Below are 22,742 nucleotides of genomic sequence, written 5' to 3' on the forward strand. Positions count from 1 at the left end.
GCTGGTACCGGTTGTTCCTTTCCATGTTTAGCGCTTCCTTCAGGAGGTCTTTTAGGGCAGGCCTGGTGGTGACAAAATCTCTCAGCATTTGCTTGTCTGTGAAGTATTTTATTTCTCCTTCACTTATGAAGCTTAGTTTGGCTGGATATGAAATTCTGGGCTGAAAATTCTTTTCTTTAAGAATGTTGAATATTGGCCCCCACTCTCTTCTGGCTTGTAGGGTTTCTGCCGAGAGATCCGCTGTTAGTCTGATGGGCTTCCCTTTGAGGGTAACCTGACCTTTCTCTCTGGCTGCCCTTAACATTTTTTCCTTCATTTCAACTTTGGTGAATCTGACAATTATGTGTCTTGGAGTTGCTCTTCTCGAGGAGTATCTTTGTGGCGTTCTCTGTATTTCCTGAATCTGAACGTTGGCCTGCCTTGCTAGATTGGGGAAGTTCTCCTGGATAATATCCTGCAGAGTGTTTTCCAACTTGGTTCCATTCTCCCCATCACTTTCAGGTACACCAATCAGACATAGATTTGGTCTTTTCACATAGTCCCATATTTCTTGGAGGCTTTGCTCATTTCTTTTTATTCTTTTTTCTCTAAACTTCCCTTCTCGCTTCATTTCATTCATTTCATCTTCCATTGCTGATACCCTTTCTTCCAGTTGATCGCATCGGCTCCTGAGGCTTCTGCATTCTTCACATAGTTCTCGAGCCTTGGTTTTCAGCTCCATCAGCTCCTTTAAGCACTTCTCTGTATTGGTTATTCTAGTTATACATTCTTCTAAATTTTTTTCAAAGTTTTCAACTTCTTTGCCTTTGGTTTGAATGTCCTCCCGTAGCTCAGAGTAATTTGATCGTCTGAAGCCTTCTTCTCTCAGTTCGTCAAAGTCATTCTCCATCCAGCTTTGTTCCGTTGCTGGTGAGGAACTGCGTTCCTTTGGAGGAGGAGAGGCGCTCTGCATTTTAGAGTTTCCAGTTTTTCTGTTCTGTTTTTTCCCCATCTTTGTGGTTTTATCTACTTTTGGTCTTTGATGCTGGTAATGTACAAATGGGTTTTCGGTATGGATGTCCTTTCTGTTTGTTAGTTTTCCTTCTAACAGACAGGACCCTCAGCTGCAGGTCTGTTGGAATACCCTGCCGTGTGAGGGGTCAGTGTGCCCCTGCTGGGGGGTGCCTCCCAGTTAGGCTGCTCGGGGGTCAGGGGTCAGGGACCCACTTGAGGAGGCAGTCTGCCAGTTCTCAGATCTCCAGCTGCGTGCTGGGAGAACCACTGCTCTCTTCAAAGCTGTCATACAAGGACACTTAAGTCTGCAGAGGTTACTGCTGTCTTTTTGTTTGTCTGTGCCCTGCCCCCAGAGGTGGAGCCTACAGAGGCAGGCAGGCCTCCTTGAGCTGTGGTGGGCTCCACCCAATTCGAGCTTCCTGGCTGCTTTGTTTACCTAAGCAAGCCTGGACAATGGCGGGCGCCCCTCCCCCAGCCTCGCTGCCACCTTGCAGTTTGATCTCAGACTGCTGTGCTAGCAATCAGCGAGATTCCGTGGGCGTAGGACCCTCCGAGCCAGGTGTGGGATATAATCTCGTGGTTCGCCGTTTTTTTAGCCGGTCTGAAAAGCACAATATTCGGGTGGGAGTAACCCGATTTTCCAAGTGCGTCCATCACCCCTTTCTTTGACTCGCAAAGGGGACTCCCTGACCCCTTGCGCTTCCCAAGTGAGGCAATGCCTCGCCATGCTTCGGCTTGCGCACGGTGCGCGCACCCACTGGCCTGCACCCACTGTCTGGCACTCCCTAGTGAGATAAACCCGGTACCTCAGATGGAAATGTAGAAATCACCCGTCTTCTGCGTCGCTCACGCTGGGAACTGTAGACCGGAGCTGTTCCTATTCGGCCATCTTGGCTCCTCCCGCCACAACTGGTTGTTTTTATAGTTGATATCATATATCATCATTTGTCAATGGAAAAAAGTCATTTGTAGGTCTCAGTTTTCTTTTGTAGTTTTTTATCGCTGGAATTGTATAATATTATAGGGAGGAAATGGTAATGTAGCATATATCTAGAGTTTTTTTGATGAGCAACTCGTAATGCTGTTTGTCAGCTTTCTCTGACACTGTTGTGCCATTGTTTCCATCCTACTGTCAACTTTAAACACTGTCTAAACACAGATTTTAATGTTTTTTAATGACATGATATTGTCTTCATATGTGGGTACTAAGTGTGCTTATTTCTAATTTGCAGTTATGATGTTAAATTCTAACACTAATGTGACATCCACTATAAACACTGTCACTGGTCTCCTGTTTGAGAAACCTTGTGTTGATGGTTCTAGATGTACTTAAAGATCAATTCAAAATAAGTTACGTTTACTCTGGTCTTCTGCTTGAGAAACTTTGGGTTGATGGTTCTACATTTACTTCAAGATCAATTCAAAATAGCTCTGTTTACTCATTTATATAAAATGGTATCCAAAAAGTATTCAGGGCCATTTTTAAGTAAAGGTACCACAGAATAGGTCCTTCCTGGGATATACAGTGTCTTTTCTCTAATTTAATATTTGAAATGCTCAAAGATACTACATTTGATCAGGAAAGCCCTGTAGTCAAACTTGTTTTAATATATATTTGGGCTACAAAAAAAGATTGAGAGTTACGAGAAAATATATACATATATATAGTGTAATGATATCAACATCCATTTTTTTCTTTCCCTTTCTGTGCCTACTTACCTAACATGAAAGTTTTGAAACTCTCTGAACTCCCACATATTTGCTCTAGATGTTACCTCTGTTAGGGAATGTCTCATTCCTCTTAGGGCACACTGACCCATTTGATTGATGGTTTAATATCTTCCCCCAAAGTACCAAGTAATATTGGTTGTTTCTTTTAATTTCAAAACCTGTACAGTAGTAATACAGGTCATTACCCATCTCCTGACCCAGACCCTGGGTGCCAACAAAATTAAGTGCTTGCTATAAGCCATGGATACCTGGAAGCTATCAACCTATTGATGATAAATAGCAAACTATAATGGCCTAGCAATATGCACGTGATTGTCTGATTCCTATTCATTTGTACATGGAGGAAGGGTGCTGAGATAACTAAATAATTAAATCACATAATGCAATTAAACTTACTCTATTACAGTGCTCTTCTCCCCGTCGTTCTTCTTGCTGACAGTATGCATACCAGGCTTCACCTCAGTACAATTAAGCTGATTAGGTAGTACTAAACAGCTCAGATATGTAATAGGCTTTTTGTTGTTGTTGTTGTTGCTGTTTTTTTTTTTAATTTTTTTTTTAAGCTCCGTAAGTCAAATGCCAAAATCTTGAGGTACAACAGCAGATCTTCCAGTGATGTACATAAAGCTCTTTACCAAACACACTACGGCAAAGGCAGGTAGCCTTAACCTTTCAAGAGCATCCAGGTCTCTAGAACTGGTTACTGGGTTGTAATGTTAGATATTGCTTTGGAAGGAAAAAAAATACGTAAAATATTCAGGCATTTCCTAGAGTGCCATTGTGTAGACTGGGCTCTTGCTCTAGCAGTTTCTCCCTCACAGACAAAAAGTAATAATAATCTACAGGATGCAACTCTTTCTCTGCTTCCTCCTTCTCCATCCATCCCTTAATTTTTCCTTAATTAATAATAATATGCTAACAATATCCTATTATAGACTGACTGCCTATTATATGCCTACAATATCCAACTTTATTTGCATGTAGCTATTGAATGCACACAACAACCTTGTGGTTCGATATTCTCTTTCTACCTGGAAGAATATAGAAGCTAAGGTAGGTTAAATATCTTGCCTAAGATCACACAGCTAAATAGTAAGAAAGCCTGAATTTGAATCTAGCTCTGTCTTAACTCCAAAGCCCACATTTCTTTCCCTGTAGCAGATTGCCTCTTGATAAAAAATATCAGGAGGAACAATATTTTGTGCTTCAAATACAACTTGGTATAAATCTGTTTCTGACTGTGTCTAGCATCTTCTCCAAGAGGATAAGGAAATTAAGCCCCCTCTGTTGTACAAGTTTCACATCCCAATCAGGATAACTGTCAAATCAAATCAGGGCGCAGCTTCTTTGCTGGACACTATTACCATGTGGTGTATTGTCAATCTTGACTAAATACCACATCCGAGCAGGCTCAACTCAATCTGTGTATTAGGAAAAATAACAAAGGAATTAAAGGATTTCATATAAGCATCAAAACTTCATCCTCATATCAATGTCTTAGGCGATTTCCAGAAGAAGGACTTTGTTGTAAAAAGAAGGTCATCTCATTAAGAAACTGAAAACAAATCCCATGTCTTTTCCTTTTCTTTATGAATCCTCCACATAAAGCATTAATTTCTATTTTTATTTTTTAAAGATGTATGTTCTTCCCTGCACAAGACCTGCTTTTGTCAACAGATACCCTTTCTGGTCAAAATTCTTTTGCATTTGGGATAGTGAAACTCATCTCTTGATTGCTGTAATCCAAAATTCTTTTAAAAATATGGTCACGAATGAATTAATGAATTGGAAGAAATAACATAAAAAGCAAGGTGTGGCTGGGCACGGTGGCTCCTGCCTGTAATCCCAGCACTTTGGGAGGCTGAGGTGGGCTGATCATGCAGTCAGGAGTTTGAGACCAGCCTGGCCAATATGGTGAAACCCCGTCTCTAATAAAAATACAAAATTTAGCCGGGTGTAGTGGCACGCACCTGTAGTCCCAGCTACTCGGGAGGCTGAGGCAGGAGAATCACTTGAACAGGGGAGGCGAAGGTTGCAATGAGCTGAGATCGTGCCACTGCACTCCAGTCTGGGTGACAGAGCGAGACTCTATCTCTAAACAAAACAAAACAAACAACAACAACAAAAAAGGTGTTATTGGTATCATTTAAGACCTTGATGATAAGACAATGAAATATATACATTCAAATTATGTTTTCTTTTTAGATATTATAGAGCCACATTCTCCTTAAAACTGTGTAAAACATAAAACTTAAATGATAAAAATATGAATAAACAATTCAGAAGGTAAACAAAAATAGTAGAAAAATATGATTTAATATTTAATTTTGCTAGTAATCAGCAAGTGTATACTAAGCAATTAATATTATTTTTATCCAATAACTAACAAATATCTCAGAGATTATGTTCAAAGCTGGTGAGGATGAGGAAAATTGCTAAGCTTCTATAATGCTGCTGCCTGAGTCAATTTGCATACTCCTTTTGAAAATAAATTTAGGGCAGGATACGGTGGCTCATGCCTATAATTCTAACATTTTGGGAGGCCAAGGTGAGAGGATCATTTGGCACCAGGAGTTCAAGACCATCCTGGGCAACAGAGAGAAAACATGTCTCCATAAAAAGTGAAAATAATTATCTGGGCATGGTGTCACACATCTGTAGTACCAGGTACTAAGGAGGCTGGGATAGGAGGACCACTTGACCCTGGAATTGGAGGCTGCAGTAAACTATGATGGCACTACTGCACTCCAGCCTGGAAAAGATCTTGTCTCAAAATAAATAAATAAAATAAGTAAATAAATAAAAATAAAATAATAAATAAGTAAATATTTTATTTATACATATAATTAAATAAATACAAATTAAAATATTAAAAATTTAAAAAGATATCTGCTAATGCATCATTTGCACTCAGTACATTTTATTGCAAAGAGGATGGTCACAGGATTTTTTCACAGCTTCATTTATTTTTATTTTTATTTTTTAAAAAATTTATTCAACAAACACATGTAGAGTCTCAGAGCTATTTAACCATTGGTAATATAAATAATGAAGGGTCTCACATCCTTTGCTTTCATGGAACCTATAGTCTAGATATACATGATATCCATGAATAGTTACATACATGAATAGTTGGGCATTGGTATACATGAATGGTTGCTTAGTTGTACAAAGTATTATGGAAGAACAAAGAAGAGGAATGTAACCAACCTAGGATTTGGGGGACTCTGGTAGGCTTACATAAGATGTGTCAGCTAAGCTGAATCTAAAGGAGGAGAATCGGCTATAAGCAAAAGAGGGGGGACATTCGTATCATGGGGCAGAAGGAAAAGCATGCGTGTGATCTCCAGGTGAAGAGAGTTTAGATTCCTAAAAGAATTGAGTGGCAGTCCCTATAGCTTCTAGGTGGTGAAGTGATTAGGCACTGAAGCTAGTGGTAAATACAGGGCCCACGTCATGAAAGGCCTGGTCAGTCGTGATTTAAAAAAAAATAATTATATATATATATATATATATATATATATATATATATATATATATGAATTTTATTCAAAAGACGGAGGAATTTTATCCAAAGGATTAAGAATTTAAAGACAGAATGACATGTTTGAATTTGAATTTTGGAAAGAGCATTCTGCTTTGCAGTGTGTAGGAGGGATTAAAGGAGGGTAGGCAGAAGAGAAAAAGGATCCATTGTAGTCATGTAGGGGAATGATGGTGGTGATTCAGACAAGCATAGGAAGAATGGAGATGAAGAGCAATTGCTGAATTTGAAGGATATTTAGGAGAGGGAATCAATGGGGTTTAGTGATGAATTCGATATAGGGGCTGAATGGGAGAAAAGTAGGTGATACCCAAGTTCTAACTTAGGGAACCTGGTGAATACTAGAGCTATTACAAGCTTTATGGGATGTAGGCCAAAAAACAGTCTTGGGGCCAAGCAATAAGTCTGTTTGAAGCATAAAAGTTTGAGGGGTCTTTAGGACATTTAAGTAACTATATTTAGAGGCAATTTTATGTGTAGAATTGAAGCTTCAGAGGGACAACTGTACTAAAGATATAAATTTTGGTGTAATATAGATATGTGCAGAATTATAGTATCAATATAAAGTGAAAATTTTGATATAACTAAATGTTCAATAGTAAAGAAATAGATCAACACTGACACACCTGCAATCATTAGAATTAGTTTTATGAGGAGGTAATACCATGAAAAAATGAGATAATATATTACAAATATATGTGTGTTCTATGTATACAAAACCAAAATATTAAGTATACATCAGAAACAGATACTAGAATGAATCATATCAAATTATTAATAGTATTGGTCTTTGGGAATTTGGTGACAATGGGTAGGAATATTTTTAACATGTGTTTGTATTTTTCTATAATTTAGTATAAACCATAATTTTCCATATAAAATATATCATAAAATGTTAACTATATTTTCCCTTTTACTATATTGAACTATAGAATGTTTACAAGTTACAAGATCACTATAAAAGATACTTTCCAAGATTTTAGAGGGTAAAATTTCTCAATAGATAATAACACAAAAGTTAGTTGTCAATTTAATATTTCATGTTCCACCAAAACAAAATGGGCGTGATGAAAAAATGCTGTTCTGGATGTCAGTGCAAAGAGGTTTTTATCCTGTGCCTGTGACTTAGAACTCGTTGACAAGTTGTTTAGCCTCTGAGAGCCTGGATGACTTCTAAGATAGGAGAGTCGGTTCGGATTTTCTCTAAGGTGATCTTCTGCCCTATTTTGCCTGTGTCCACATCACATACAAAAAATTCCGTCGAATCATGTTCCAGTCAAATCAGCCTATATTTACATTTTGAGATATGCAGCTAAGTGGCCACAGGCTAGGATTTTATGTGACCTGACATCTAACAGGAGTGTATTTCTTTCAAAGAGAATTTAATGTTGTTTGTTCCTTACAGTTTCGTTTTCCCTCTTTTGTTTCGTCTTTTTGTCATAAAAAGATTGAAAATACTTGCTGTATTAGTGTGCAGAACATAAAACATAAAGCTCTTCCTGAAAGGTAATTTTCCAAGAGTGAAAAATATGAGAATGGTGTTTGATTGTTTGGTTTTCTGTCATTCAATGTTGCATTAAAACAACCATTTTTCCATAACTATGAATGGCCTCACTCTTGAAAACTGTCAGTTACAAATGAAAAGCGATAACACTTTGAAAGCAAAACCTTTCCCAAATCCCACTAGGTTTTCAGATGAATTTGAAAATTAGTCAGTGGGACATATTCATACACAAATGTATCCATTGTTGGGGGAGGAATTAAACAATTTATAAACTCCATCTCCATATTCTCAGCAAGATATTCTTTTTTACATCTTAAAATGAATAATTGTTATAAATCTTATAATCTTATTCTTTTTCATTTTTTTCCTAAATACATTTATATTTTGTTTTTCCCTGATACGTGGATTTTAATACAATAAAGTTAGAGACCATGAAGTGAAAGCTAAAATTGCCATAGTTTATGAAGCCCTTTATATTCTTTCACAAAGCAGAGGGGTGTGTGTGTGTGTGTGTGTGTGTGTGTGTGTGTGTGTTTCCTGGTTATGTGTTTATTCTAGAAACCTAAAAATAGAGAAAAAGCAAAAAACTTAATACAAACTTAAATTACTAACATTGTGTGACCCAGAGAAAAATACCTGGACTAAATTTGACATCTTACTTCAAAGTCTCTTTGAATAAACTGTTATGGGAACAGGTGTCTCAGGTTAAATCACTGTATGTTTCCATTAGGGGACAAAGCTGTATCTGCCATCATAACTGGTGTAGAATCTCTGGCTTAGATCCAATTTGAGAGGCCAGTTTTGGAGACAACTTAAGTGAAAGCTAAAATGATGGTTACAAGTTAACAATCAAAGAAAAACAAAACTTTTCTTTGTGGCCCTCTTGGGAAATAAGTCACCTGTGTTAGTGTGGCTGAAAGAATAACTGTCCTGTGTATTAGGACCAGCATGGGTTCTCTTGCATTCAAAGAATGCACAGCTGAACTGGTCTTAGGGCCCATGCTGTAAACCAAGACAGCTTTCTTTCTATAATCTAGTGGTTACTCTGTGTCTGCATCTCTGAAAGTTCCTAGTTCAAGGCACACAGAAAGGAGAGGTGTTAGAATTGCTAAGGGACAAACTTTAAAAAAATTAAATTTAACCGAGTTGAATTGAGCAAAGAACTGTTCACGAATCAAGCAGTCCTTGAACCAAAATAGGTTTAGAGAGACTCCAGGCTGCCACGTGGTCAAAGACGATTTATGGACAGAAAAGGAAAGTGACGTTTAGAAAACGGAAGTGAAGTTCAGAAACAGCCAGATCAGTTACAGCTCAATGTTTATCTTATTGAACACGATGTGAACCATCGGCTTTAGGCACAATTTAAAATATGTCAGGAGGCAGCTTTAGTCTAAACTTAATTTAACAGACCCACATAAGACCAATGGTTTAATAAAATCTCAAACTCTTTAAAATGTGCATTCTAATGAAGATGATATTTAGCTCTACCTAACTTTTCAAATTCCTTTCCATGTACCCATGGCATGTAATATTTCAGCCATCCCACATTTCCTAAGATTTCTCTCTTACCTTTTAATCTCTGCACATGGCATGCCCGCTGTTGGGCTACCTTCTCCAACTTGCCCAGTTGGTCAGCACATTTATCCAGACTGTGATGAGGGGTAATCTTCCCTGTGATGCCTGCCATAAACCCTCCCAGGGACAGTTAGGCTCTCTCCTCTGTACCCAATGACACTTTGCATATACTTCCAATTTAAGCATGCTTGTCATAGATTTGTTATTATTTATCTCTATTTTTAGTCTGTGAGCTCCTGGCAGAAAGTAAATATGTCTTAGTCATCTTTGAATCCCTAGTACCTAGAACATTGTCTAATCTTAGTAGGCATGCACATGCGTCTATTTAAAAAAAAATACATTGAATGTATTAAACTGATAAATTGGAGAATAATGAACGTGCTTTTGTAGAGTCTACTGAAATCTGAAGTTCTTTAAGGAACTAAGAATGGCTCTTTGATTTCTTTGAATGTGTCTTAAGCACTCTTTCCCATCTTTCATTCTGCAGGATTTAAGATCTGCTCGATAAAGTAATATCTTAGTCATATATAAGATTGGCACAGGTGAGGTGAATGATGCAAACGCAATGATATAAAACGCTTCCATTTTTATTACAGGTTAGGAAGAAAGAATAGTTTTCAAGTTAAAAATAAACAAGAAACTTTTACTGGGGCCTGGGGAAAGAGTCTGTGTTTCATAAATTGCATTAAATATTTGGTATGTAAAATTCCGGCTGCTGTTCTGCATTAAATGGGCGAAATGCATCCCGTATCTAATTAAGTAACCATATGGAGACAAGTCACATTTACATAAATGAAGGCAGAAAGCCTGGCTCTATTGTATTCTCTTTTAGATTATGTAACTTGGTTTTCCTGCTATGGCTTTCTGCTCTGACTTGCACATTGCCGTGGACCAATACACTCACAGAAAATGAATGGAAGTTAAAGAGCTAATTCTAAGGAGCATTACTCTATTTACATATTGCAGTGAGAAGGACTCTGGAATATTATGAAATCTCCTATGTTTATTAACTACTTGCCTATTAAAGCCAATAGTTTTGGGACCTGGCCAACAGGAAACCCATTGTCTATTAGCCTGCTTTGCAAGATAGCTATGTGCCTGGTGTACAGTGTAACCATTTCACTGAATGTTTATTGAATAAGTGCTTCACAGCATGTATTCTGAATTTTTCACCTAACAGAATTTTACTAATATAGCTACAGGGAGCAAATGATAAAGAAGTGTTATAAGCAACGGTCCATATCACTAGGACTCTGAGATGAAAATGATAATAGCAATCAGAAAATCAAAATATAAATGTTAGGATAATAAGTTTGGGGATGGAAATCATAGGGATGATAATTGTAATTCTTTCCTTTTTATGCTTTTGTTTGTCCACCCAGTGATGATGCTGAAGGTTGTGGTCATGGTGCCACATGATATGTATGTAACATTTAACCATTTACTCTATTTTTACATATATTTTAACATCACAAAACACCAACAGATTTTAGTCATCCATTTTTGTGTATGAGAAAAATGGAACATCAGGGTTAAGTTATTCACCCAAGGTCACAGAGTTAACACAGACCTTGTCAGGTTATTTGATTCTCATGTAAAGTTCTTTAGTTTTAGCAGATTTAGTCTTTGCTTTTTGGTATGGTCCCTGTTTACACTTTGAAACAAATACCAGTATAGTGAAAAGAAAAGCATACTTTGGAGACAGAAAAAGCATACTTTGGAGACAGAAAAGGAGAAAAAAAGTGATATGTATTTCAAAGTAATGTCCTCTCAAGAAAAAAGTATACAAATAATTTAGAACGTCTCAAAATCTCTTGATGCTCAAATTCACTTAAACAATAATCCAATGGATCAGGATTTTATGAATCCCAATTTTGGATGACTGTGGGCCCCGGTGTGCCCAATTGCATTACAAATACAACACATCAAATGATAAAATATTGGCAGTTTATTATGCTTAACCCTATTAGAATGGCAGTGCCTTTCGCCCAGTTGTTTTTCTTGCTAATGTTCACCACGTCCTTATATTTTAATTGGAATTTTAGTTGTTAAATATTCCTGCTTTAAAAGAAACATTTATTTCTAAATGAAACACAGAAAAATTCTTATTATTTTATTCTCAATTATTCTTTGACTTCTTTATTTCTGACTTTGGTGAGGATGTCTAGTCAGTTAAATATAGTTGGTAGAACACTAGTTCTCTCAAAAATATTTATTTTCTCAGGGCCTTCTCTGGGAGGGGTTCCTAACACACCCATCCTGATCTGGAATCGCAGTCCAGCTCACAGGTTAACCAAATGATCTTTAAGGTAAATGTCATTCTTATTGTAAGTGAAGAAGTGACTCACAGATAATGTGTGTTTTTATACCATCTTTTGGTTTTATGAACTACACACTATTACCCTGCGACAGGCACTCACTAAATTAGAGTATCAGACTTATAAGAATCCATTCCTCTGAAACAAAATGGAATTCTGAGGTGGCTGGAGTCAGAGACCTGCATTCAAGTTCTGAGCCCACCACTTACTGTCAGTGCAGCCTTAGGCAAGGCAGATAATTAAAGCATCTCCTCAGATGCACAGTGACACCCACCTTGGAGAGTTTCTGTGTCTCTTAAATGACCGAATCCGTGTAGAAGGCTTATTACCACAATCTGTAGCTACTTGGTAAACGGCAGCTCTTATTTTGACTTTCTGCTAACGGAGTTTCCACATTCCTTAGCCTACCAAGGCTCTTTCCTGAACAGCTGATGGCATTAGGATTTAATTAAGTGAAGCTTGGAGTGCTGGCTTTGTGTAAGAAGGAAGATGCAGCTGTATCAGTGAGGAACGTTTTCTGCCACAAATAACAGAAAATCTATCAGTAGCGTTAAATAAGTAGGGATTGTTTAAAAAAAAAAGCTGTAATATGTTATCTGGGGGTGGATGATCCTGGTGTTAGTTAAAGCTCTCAGTGATGTCTGTGCTGGGACTTCCGGGTTCCTGTTGGACTTTTCCTCCCAAACTTCACCAGGTAAGGCAGGAACAAACAGGAAAAAGGACAGTACCAACCACACCTATTCTTTCGTTTTCGTTTTTTTTTTTTTTTTTTTTTTTTTGAGACAGAGTCTCAGTCTTTCACTCAGGCTGGAGTGCAATAGTGTGATCACGGCTCACGGCAACCTCTGCCTTCCGGGTACAAGTGATTTTCCAGCCTCAGCCTCCTGAGTAGCTGGGATTACAGGCATGTGCCACCACACCTGGCTAATTTTTGTATTTTTAGTAGAGACGGGGTTTCACCATGTTGGCCAGGCTAGTCTCAAACTCCTGACCTCAGGTGATCTGCCCACCTCTGCCTCCCAGAGTGCTGGGATTACAGGCATGAGCCACAGCACCTGGTCACACCTATTCTTTATATCAGGCAGATACAAGCTTTCACAGAAGCTTCTGTTTACGACTCATGTGCTAAACCAGTGTCACCTGACCATGCTGAACTGCAAGAAGGTCATCAGAGTCTGTGATTTTTCCAGCCTCTGCTGTGAATGTGGTGTGGAAGGAGGCAGATGGCTGGATCAGTCACCAGCCATTTGTCCTACCAGAATTTAAAACTTTTCTTTGAGTTGTAAAGTGGAGTTGTGGCATATGTGTTGAGATTATGAATAAATTTATCTTGAAGGAAAAAAAGCATTCATGCAGTCTTGCATAAAACTATTTATTAAAGTAAATGACCTCCTCCCACCCTGTCCCAAAGAATAGAATCTGTCAGCAATTTATAAGCCCCTTAAAAGTTTCCACTTCAGTTCCTGTTCCTCTTTCTTCCCTATCCTTCCCTTTTACTGAAAGAATTGACAGTTTCCTGAAGAATTCAGTTCAAAACTACTAGGCAGGGCTGAGCATGGTTGGCAAGTATGGGTTGGAGAGGGGGAGAGAGGTGAGTCATTGCCCTGTGGGATGAGGAAGGGGTGTCCTCCTGGAGAGGCAGCCTGCTGAGGGGATTAAGCCCTTTTGCTGGAGGGCAGCCACCTACTGGGCAGGGCTTTGCTGCACCAGGAATGAGAGCCTGACCCAGTGTGGAACTTGGAGTGTGGGAAGGCAGGGCGGGCTACAGGGATAGGCAGTCACTACTCCCAGCACTTCGCTATACAAAGCCAAAAAAAAAAAAGATTCTTATTTTCACCTACCTCATTTTTTAGACGGATGCAAATAAACAGTGATATGTATACAAATATATACCTACAATCCCTCACCTTCCCACTGCCACTCTAGTAAATCATTTTCCTTCTTTTCTTATTTTCATGGATCCCAACAATTTTTGTATTTATGTAATAATAAAAATGTAATATTACATTCCACCCTTTTTCTCATCCTCTGAACGTTAACTGATTCTTTTTTCTTTATTTATTTTTGAAATAGGGTCTGTCTCTCTCTGTCACCCAGGCTGGAGTGCCAGTGGTGTGATCTTGACTCACTGCAGCCTCTACCCCCTGAGCTCAAGCGAGCCTCCCACTTCAGCCTCCCAAGTAGCTGGGACTACACGCATGCATCCAGCTAATTTTTTTATTTTTAAATTTTTTTGCAGAGAAGAGGGTCTCACTGTGTTGTCCAAGCTGTTCTCAAACTCCTGGGCTCAAGTGATCCTCTCGCCTTTGCCTCCCAAAGTGCTGGAATTACAGACATGAGTTGTGCCTGGCCTAAGATTGACTGATCCTTAAGGGGGATCCTCGGGTAGCTAGGACAGTTACCCTCAGGCTTGTCCATTCCACTCTCCTGCTTTCTTTCAGATGCAGGCTGAACGTGCTGCTTATCTAAAGGACATTTATTAAAATGGGAGGAGGGGAACTTAATTGCTTTTAGATCTCTCTGTATTTTGTGAGTTGAATGGTTAAAACTTGATCTATTACATGATCTAGTCCCTTTATTTATCTGGCATTTGTGCCAGATACATAGACGTATTCATGCGTTGTTACTAGTAAAGGAAAAGTGCATCATTCAGATTGCATGTCTGTACGTGTCTGCTAAGCTTACCACTATAGCTTTGGGTATGTATTGTTTATCAAGTGGTCCTTTTATGAATTGAACAATGAATTAGACAGAACTAAAGCCCCTAATAGGAGTGTAAGCAGTTGATGCTCATATAAAATCTTTTAATACTTTTGTCATTTCCTCTAACATATGGATTTACAAAATCCTGCGGGGACTTGGTATTTGTTGAAGATAGAAATTGGTATAAGCATTCAGTAACAAAACAAATTAATATGTGATTTATTTTATGAAATCCATTTTAAATATAATTAAAATATTTTTAAAAAACCACATCTGAGATTCCACCCCGAAACCCCTCTTACTCCCTGTGACATATACACATTTTATTTTCTGACTTTATTGTATTTTTGACATAAACTGTTTGCCCTTACTTTTTAGAATATTTGCTTTACAATTTTTTGATGCTGACAATTACTTGAATGTGAGTTAGCTTTTCCATTACAAATACATTTCAAGGCTTATAGTCTCTTAAACTCTGTGTTATGTGAGGCTGTTTTTTCTCCCCTTAAGCTGATGTATTTAATGGGAAAAAAAATCTTATTTGGAAGAATCAAGTTACATTTAAGTTTAATTTGTTCCAGTGGCAAACTATGCATGTGTGTTTCCAGTTGTTAGGAGCCATTTACTAACTTGGTGTCTTTTATTTTCTTCCTTATACAAAATACCTCTTGAAGTCTGAGCCTTTGTACCTCTTTTTACTTTTAAGAATTCCTCCTGTAGTTCCTCAACAGAACATTACTCTTTTTTTTTTTTTTTTTTTTAATTGAGACAGAGTCTCACTATGTTGCCCAGGCTGGAGGCTGGAGTGCAGTAGCATGACCTTGGCTCACTGCAACCTCTGCCTTCCAGGTTCAAGCAATTCTCCTGCCTCAGCCTCTCAAGTCGCTGAGATTACAGGCACGTGCCACCATGCCTGGATACTATTTTTATTTTTAGTAGAGACAGGGATTTGCCATGTTGGCCAGGCTGCTCTCAAATTCCTGACCTCAAGTGATCTGCCTGCCTAGCCCTCTCAAAGTGTTGGGATTACAGGCGTAAGCCACCGCGGCCAGTCAGAACAATCCTCCTGTTTTTAATGAATTGGGTTTACCATTGACAATGCTTCCTGATTTCGGTTGTTGACTTAAGCATGAATAGTAAGAGGCTCTGGTCACAACTGCATCAATGACATGCAGAAAGCAGGTCAGGTCACAAGATGCAGCCCTTTCCCAGACTCTCTTCGGAGAGTTGGATCTGATGGGTGAGTGCATTAGTCAGGGTTCTCTAGAGGGACAGAACTAATAGATGTATATATAAAGGGGAGTTTCTTAATGAGTATTGACTCACGATCACAAGGTGAGGTCCCACAATAGGCCGTCTGCAAGCTGAGGAGCAAGGAAGCCAGTTCAAGTCCCAAAATTGAAGAACTTTGAGTCTGATGTTCAAGGGCAGAAAGCATCCAGCACGGGAGAACAATGTAGGCCAGAAGTCTCAACCAGTCTAGTCTTTCCACATTCTTCTACTGCTTTTATTCTGGCCATGCTGGCAGCTGATTAGATGGTACCCACCTGGATTGAGGGTGGGTCTGCCTTTCCCAGCCCACTGACTCAAATGTTAATTTGACATTTGACAACACCCTCACAGACTCACCCAGGAACAATACTTTGCATCCTTCCATCCAATCAAGTTGACACTCCATATTAACCATCACAGTGAGATTGTTCTTCCAGTGGTTCACTAGGTAGTTTTCCTCCATCCTAAAGACTGGTTTGGTCTCAATGGGAACAACCATTTCTAGGGCAGTTAATCTTGCTATTGAAATGTTTGCTTTCTTTGGTCTTACAGTAGAATGGCCTTTCGAGGGTACAAGATGCCACTCCTCCTTGTCCTCTCCACTGTGCTCAGCAATCACACCCTCCTGCCTTTGATTTTGTGGCAGTTTCCTGGGACTTAAGTCTTTGCTCACTGTATGAAGAAACAGGGAAGTACAGTTTTCCCTCCTGCACTTCCCTTTTTATATTGCTTCCTCCATTTCCTAAGGTTAGGGGAGAATCCAGTTTATTCCTTTCATTTGATCAAATGTAATTATAACTACTGGCTATAAGCTCAGAGCTATTAGCGATTTGTGTTCATTCTCACCAGCGGAAGGTTGCTGGGGGCAGAGGGTGGGCCAAAGGCAAGCAAAATGGAATCATGTTCCCTTTGAAGGGGCAGTGAGCTGGTGAGTTATCCAAGATCCAAGACGATTGCCAGACAATCTCCACCATTTCATAGGTAAAGAAAGCAGACCATTTGGAATCTTTTGACCATATTTTATGGCTGAGTATCCTCTGTTATCATCCCTGTCATTCACATACATGTGTGGGAGAACAACATCTATTCTCACCATTTTTCAAAATTTTGAAGCAGCTTGGGGTTGTCATTAGCCCTTTAAGGTAACCATTCACCAGAGCCTCTCACCTCACAGATGTGTATCTCAGTTGTTTCTGCAAAGACGCTCGGATTCAAAACAGAAATTTGAGGCGTGTCCTATTCATTCTTATGTTTCATCCAATAACACTGAAGCCATGGCTAGCTGGAGGCACCATATCCTCCTAGTTCAGCTTCTAGAAGATAATTCATCTACACCAGTTCTACAAGCATGCTTTATTAATAAAGCGAATATTTCTCCAGCACAGAATCTTAGAGCTGGTGCAGGTTTGCCATTGTGTCCTGGTGTATGTGCTATCAATGTAGGCTGTGTTCTGATGTCTTTTTTGATTTCACAGGAACTGACAATGGCGAAGCCCTTCCCGAATCCATCCCATCAGCTCCTGGGACACTGCCTCATTTCATAGAGGAGCCAGATGATGCTTATATTATCAAGAGCAACCCTATTGCACTCAGGTGCAAAGCGAGGCCAGCCATGCAGATATTCTTCAAATGCAACGGCGAGTGGGTCCATCAGAACGAGCACGTCTCTGAAGAGACTCTGGACGAGAGCTCAGGTAGGAGCGTGCAGCAGTCAGAAGCAGCTGTGGTGACTCTTTAGGTTCTCCTGTGGTTATATCTCTGGGAAAGACTGGAAATCACCCCCCATTGCCTTGTGTGAATGAGGTCATAGTTACATCACTCCCAGCATATAAGATGCAATCCTTTTCTTCAAATGACCCTACAGCTGCCTTGGTAGTCCCTTCCGATATGATGCAGAGGCATTTTTTTCTTGCTGTAGATAACTTTAAACACCAAATTTTGTATGAAAATTAATATTATCACTGGAAATAAACCAGGGAGTCACTGTTTTTGTTTGCAGAATTCTGAATATTTTTGAGGACAAATATTAAATCTTGCATCAAACCCCTTGTTAAGCAGCATGATTTGAGTTTCTTTAATCTTTCCTAGATTTTATTCTTTGCACTTTATTCTCCACATTTGGTGGTTTCTGAGTCCTTTTTTTTTTTTTTTTTTGACTATGGTGTAATGGCAGATCCCAAATTAGATTACCATATCCTAGCAGGATCTCCAGTATGAAAGAATTGTGGGACCATCTTTACATTATTAGTAAATTATTGGCAAATTTGGCTGATAAGTGGTGATGATGGAAATTATGATTATACTAGCTAATGCATATTGACCACTCACTATATATCAGGCTTTAAGCATTTGACAGACATTATGTATCTTGCTCAGTTTTTTCAACAGTCCCCTGCAGTAGATAATGCTATTATTACCTTCTCGTAGACAAGGAAACTAAGGCTCAAAGAGATTAAGTAAAGTGCTTGCCCTGGATGTCAAAGTGAGATAATTTGACTCAAAGCCTTCAAAATGTATATCCTTTTATATTTTAATGTTGACAGAAACAATCTATGCTTTTGAACTTTGCTTTCTCAGACAAGATCCAATCTGGTCACACGTTAGATTGTTGATTTTTTTAGATGGTCAACTGCTTGACTTGGTCAACTCACTAGATATCCGATTTTTGAATAAGTCAAAAAACATCAGTATAACTCTGAAGTTTCAAATCAGCCTAATTTATTAACTATATAGCAACGATATTCTATATAACAAGGTAGGCCTTTCAGAGTATTCAGAGATAGGTAAGAAAATAGCCCATAGGGGTGAACTTTACACATAATGACAGAGATAAGACAAATATGCCCATGAATGCTATGCAGATGAAGTTAGGATAAATATCTGAAAAGAAGAATATGATTATACAGAAGATTTGTTTCTTAAATCACATCTAACTAGGACTATCAGTAAAGGTATTGTAGACTTGATAGCGGTTGAAAGGAACATTGATGAATATGTAAGTCAGATGGGCATAATTGATGCTACACCATATGGAGGAGAGAGGAGTTTTAGTGGCCTGAAGGTCACAAACATTAGTAAATGAAGAAAGCTTGGTATACGTTCAGCAAAACGTTTGGTTTTGTTGAAATATAAAATTTATGTACAAGAATAGCAGCCAGTGGCTAGAAAACTCAGTTTAATCAATGGCATGAAAGGCCTCAAATAAGAGTGTGGAGCCCTTTACTTAGTTTTATGGGTATTTTGGTTCTGGTGATCGATCATATTGATGTACGGGTATGCAGTGGCTGGAGCTCTGCTTTAAAAAATGAATCTGGAAGAAATGTTGGTAAGCAGAAACCAGAACAAGGGAGCTAAGAGACATGGATAATTCAGGTGAGAGAAGGTAAGAACTGGTTCAAGAGTCGGGAGGCTACAGAAATAACAACCAGAATATAAGTAATTGCATTAACAAGGATAAAAATGTGAGATCATAGTTTTGATAAGCTAAATTTGAGGTGCTTATGGTATATAATGAAGAGATGTAGATTTGGAACTTGATATAATTAGTAGGTAGAAGAGTAGATTTGAGAATCATTAGGAAAGAACGAAGCCATGTGGGTGGAAGAGTTGTTAGAGAGGAAGGGTCAACTAGGTCTACTTGAAAAGGAAGTAGACCTAGAGATATACCTCTTCAGAAGACAGGGATAGGAGTATCAGCCTCCAGCAAAGAAGTAACCAGGGGAGCCGGGTGCGGTGGCTCACGCCTGTAATCCCAGCACTTTGGGAGGCCGAGGTGGGTGGATCACAAGGTCAGGGGTTTGAGCCCAGCCTGGCCAATATGGTGAAACCCTGTCTCTAATAAAAATACAAAAATTAGCCAGGGTTGGTGACGGGTGCCTGTAGTCCCAGCTACCCAGGAGGCTGAGGCAGGAGAATTGCTTGAACCCAGGAGGTGGAGGTTGCAGTGAGCCAAGATCATGCCACTGCACTCCAGCTGGGTGACAGAGCAAGACTCCGTCTAAAAAAAAAAAGAAAAAAAGGAAAAGGAAAAGAAAAAAGAAGTTACCAGGGGATGCTGTGTTCCAAAGCAAAAGGAAAAAGTTGTCTCAAAAAGATATGTAGGTAAAACTCTATCAATAAAGAGAAGGGCGAAGGACTAAACATCTTATTTACATGTAAAGAAAGACTGCTAATCATTACACAGTTCTGAACTACTGTAGGATTGCAGTATAAATTCAAAACTCCAAAAAGGAGAGAAACACCTAAAACTCTATAATAATTCCCTATTCATTTCAAATTGGAATTAGTAGGAGGAAGAGAAAAAAACAAAAGTGCCCCTTTTAGAGATGTTCTTCAGACCAAAGCATGCGTAGAATCCTAGAATCTAAATGTAAGAACTGGGAGAGAGAGAGAGCTTAGTGATAATCTAACAGCCCTATTTTATACATTAAAATGTTAAGATTTAAGAGATACAATGAGTTTGTGGCATAGCTGTTTCAAGGACCCAGATCTCCCGATTTCTCCTTCAGATGAATTTCTTCAACACCATGAGTCACCTTTGCCTATAGATTTCTATACTTTTCTCCCAAATCAAAATATTGACAAGTTTTCTTGCTGACATAAGGATGGATTGAAGTACATGGCTCATCATTTTCCATTATGAATCTATTTAGGGTTTCAGTCACCCATGTGTATCATCCTATACATATAACATTTTAGAATTTATTTATTCCTGACCATTTCTTCCATCTTCGTAAAAGCCAATCCTTTAATCTGGGCATGTTTCTGGCACTGTTAGACAAAAGTTTATAGCAAGCAATGGTAGACATTTCCAGGAATGTTGATATAGTTTTGATTTTGAAGGAAGGATTTGGCATTTCGATGGGGAAAGTAGAGAACAAATTGAATCTTGGTTTCAGGAACGTCTCTGATCTTGTGCTCCCAAGGCTGGGACCCAGGAGAGACCTAGATGGAGAGGCCTGGTGCTGGGAGAGATTGAGTCAGAGACAACAGCAGTCTCACTTACGTTGACATTAAAAATTCAAAGGAAGACAGTGGAATTTGGGAGAGGGCAACCAAGGGAATGACATCTACCATATAAGCAAAAGGCTACAAAACAATGGCAGAATATGACAGGCTTGTGTCTTTTGCTCAATTAGTACAACTAAAAAGGACTCAAATACCAGTGGCTCACTGGGGCTGTATGTTTTTTATCATCAGATGTCTCTGTCCTAGATTTTGCCCACCAATGACCTCAAAATAGCCGAATCCCATTGGGTAAACTCTTCCAAATGAAAGATAGAAAGAATATTGTAAAATGATCAGCCATTTCTGTTACCACTGCTAGAAAAATCTTATATCCCTTCTCATATAAAGACCTCTTGAAGTATTGCAAGCCAATTCAACAGTGCACCCTCTTCTAATTTCACTACATTCTGTTTTGTTATTGCTTCCCCCTTTTAATTCCCCTAGCATTGCTAGGCAACTCCATGTCATGTGGATAGCGTTTTTTATTACATTCTCTACCTCCATGTAGAAATCTCCTCCTCTCTACTTCCTTAAAAAAAAAAAAGAAAGCCAATAAAAGACATATTTCAAAGAAACTGAGCAAAACAAAAAATTCATAAATGACCAAATCTGAGTATATTATATACCGATTTTTAAAAATATGCTGTTGAGAAAGGATTTAAATTTTAGCAGTTACTTTTTTGTAAAGAACTTAATAGCACAACTTTTTCTTCCAAGTCATTTTGATTGAATCAATGTGAAAGAAATGTCTCTCCCTAAACAGTTTTCTTCTGTGTAGTTAATGAAAATCACTATCTGCCGCACACTGCAATTATGTTTCCTAAGCTCTGTATTAATAGTAGAATTGTGGAAACAAGAACAAGATGAGTGGAGATATTATACCCCAAAACAATACCTAAATGCAATTTAGGGTGGAAACAAAATGGCCTCAGGTATTGAAAAATAGATGCATTACCTCCCTTGGGTTCTCCAAGGCAGAGCTGGGAAACAGGACTTGACTACCTTTACAGACTTAATGGCTTTTGACTGGATTCGTAAAATAATTCCTGCCAGTCTAATAGGAGTGAATGACACTGAGAAGCCAAGGACGGTGGGACCACATTTGACCAGAGAGACTGAGAAAACTGTCCCTGGTTTTTTAAGTCCTGTCGAAAGTAACTCCTTATGTCTCTTTGGACAACATATTCTCCATTTCTGAAATTCTAGAGAAATTTGATAATTCTTTTTACTTATAGGCATTCTGTCCTCACAGAACTAATGGGAAATGCATAGGACCTGGGAGTGTTTGGAGTAGACACAGAATCTTTCGTGTTCCTAAATTGGAAGCAATAAGTCCTTTCAGTTGTTAAAGGCTGCAAACTGCCTTTGGTCTTTCTGGTAATTTGGCCCTGTCATCTAACAGTTCAAATAAGAAAAGAGATTGTGTGTTTTCATGCAGTTTAGCTTGGAAAACCCAGAGCTAGAGTTCTTTCCTGCAAAAAGTACAATTTATTTGACATGAGTTACTGTGTTTGCACAGACAAGGCTATACCTCTTAGTAATGTACACTTGCAGTTCTCTGCACTAGCCAAGGGATCCTCTTTCATTTGTTCTGCCTCATTTCATTTGGAAATATGGGAACTCGTCTTCCTTGTGTTGTTCTTCTGTTAACATCTGGAAGCTCAGAGTTGAGAAGTAATCTCAACCCAGGAATCATACCCCTGTGAAAAGAATGGTGTATGCAGTAACGTAGAAATTAGGAGCTTTACTCTAACAGGCAGACACACATATGTCATACACACAATAGTAAACAACCACAAACCAAACATATCTTGGCAATCAAGATTATGTGGCCTGTGGGGAGCTGGAGTTATCAATAAGCTAAACCACTTCTTTATTGTTCAATAAAAATAGGAATTCTCTTAACAACACGCCGTGGCTCTTATCTTATTCCACCTCAGAGATATCGAATTCTAATGAGTGAAATAATGTGTATTCCAATGTGTTATGAGAAAGTCTCAACTCTAGTAAACTAATATTTTTCTTTTTAAAGAATTTCATTTCAGGGACCTCATTGTGTGTGATTTCCTTTTTAAACAACTGGAGTCACTCTCTG

General features: G+C 38.6%; 1 protein-coding gene across 18 annotated transcripts in view, besides 1 other annotated feature; it reads left to right on the forward strand.

Annotated features, from left to right (window-relative positions):
• UNC5D (unc-5 netrin receptor D) overlaps nt 1-22,742 on the forward strand; it is a 561,066-nt gene that overhangs the window by 296,702 nt on the left and 241,622 nt on the right. For 17 of the 18 annotated variants that reach the window (NM_001438417.1, NM_001438418.1, NM_080872.4 and 14 more), the window contains exon 2: nt 17,116-17,334. In NM_001438417.1, the coding sequence (NP_001425346.1) occupies nt 17,116-17,334 (219 nt within the window). Of the gene's footprint in view, nt 1-12,215; nt 12,360-17,115; nt 17,335-22,742 lie in introns of those variants that run through there. The other variant, NM_001322818.2, reaches the window with a different exon arrangement.
• Nucleotides 1,062-1,649: an enhancer, noted in NCBI's record as "NANOG-H3K27ac-H3K4me1 hESC enhancer chr8:35390756-35391343 (GRCh37/hg19 assembly coordinates)". NCBI's record gives its function as "activates a minimal SCP1, AML or CMV promoter by ChIP-STARR-seq in naive H9 embryonic stem cells {active_cell/tissue: H9 hESC(naive)}" and the evidence as "EXISTENCE:reporter gene assay evidence [ECO:0000049][PMID:30033119]".

The sequence above is a fragment of the Homo sapiens genome, chromosome 8 (assembly GCF_000001405.40).
Source record: "Homo sapiens chromosome 8, GRCh38.p14 Primary Assembly".
NCBI lineage: Eukaryota > Metazoa > Chordata > Mammalia > Primates > Hominidae > Homo > Homo sapiens.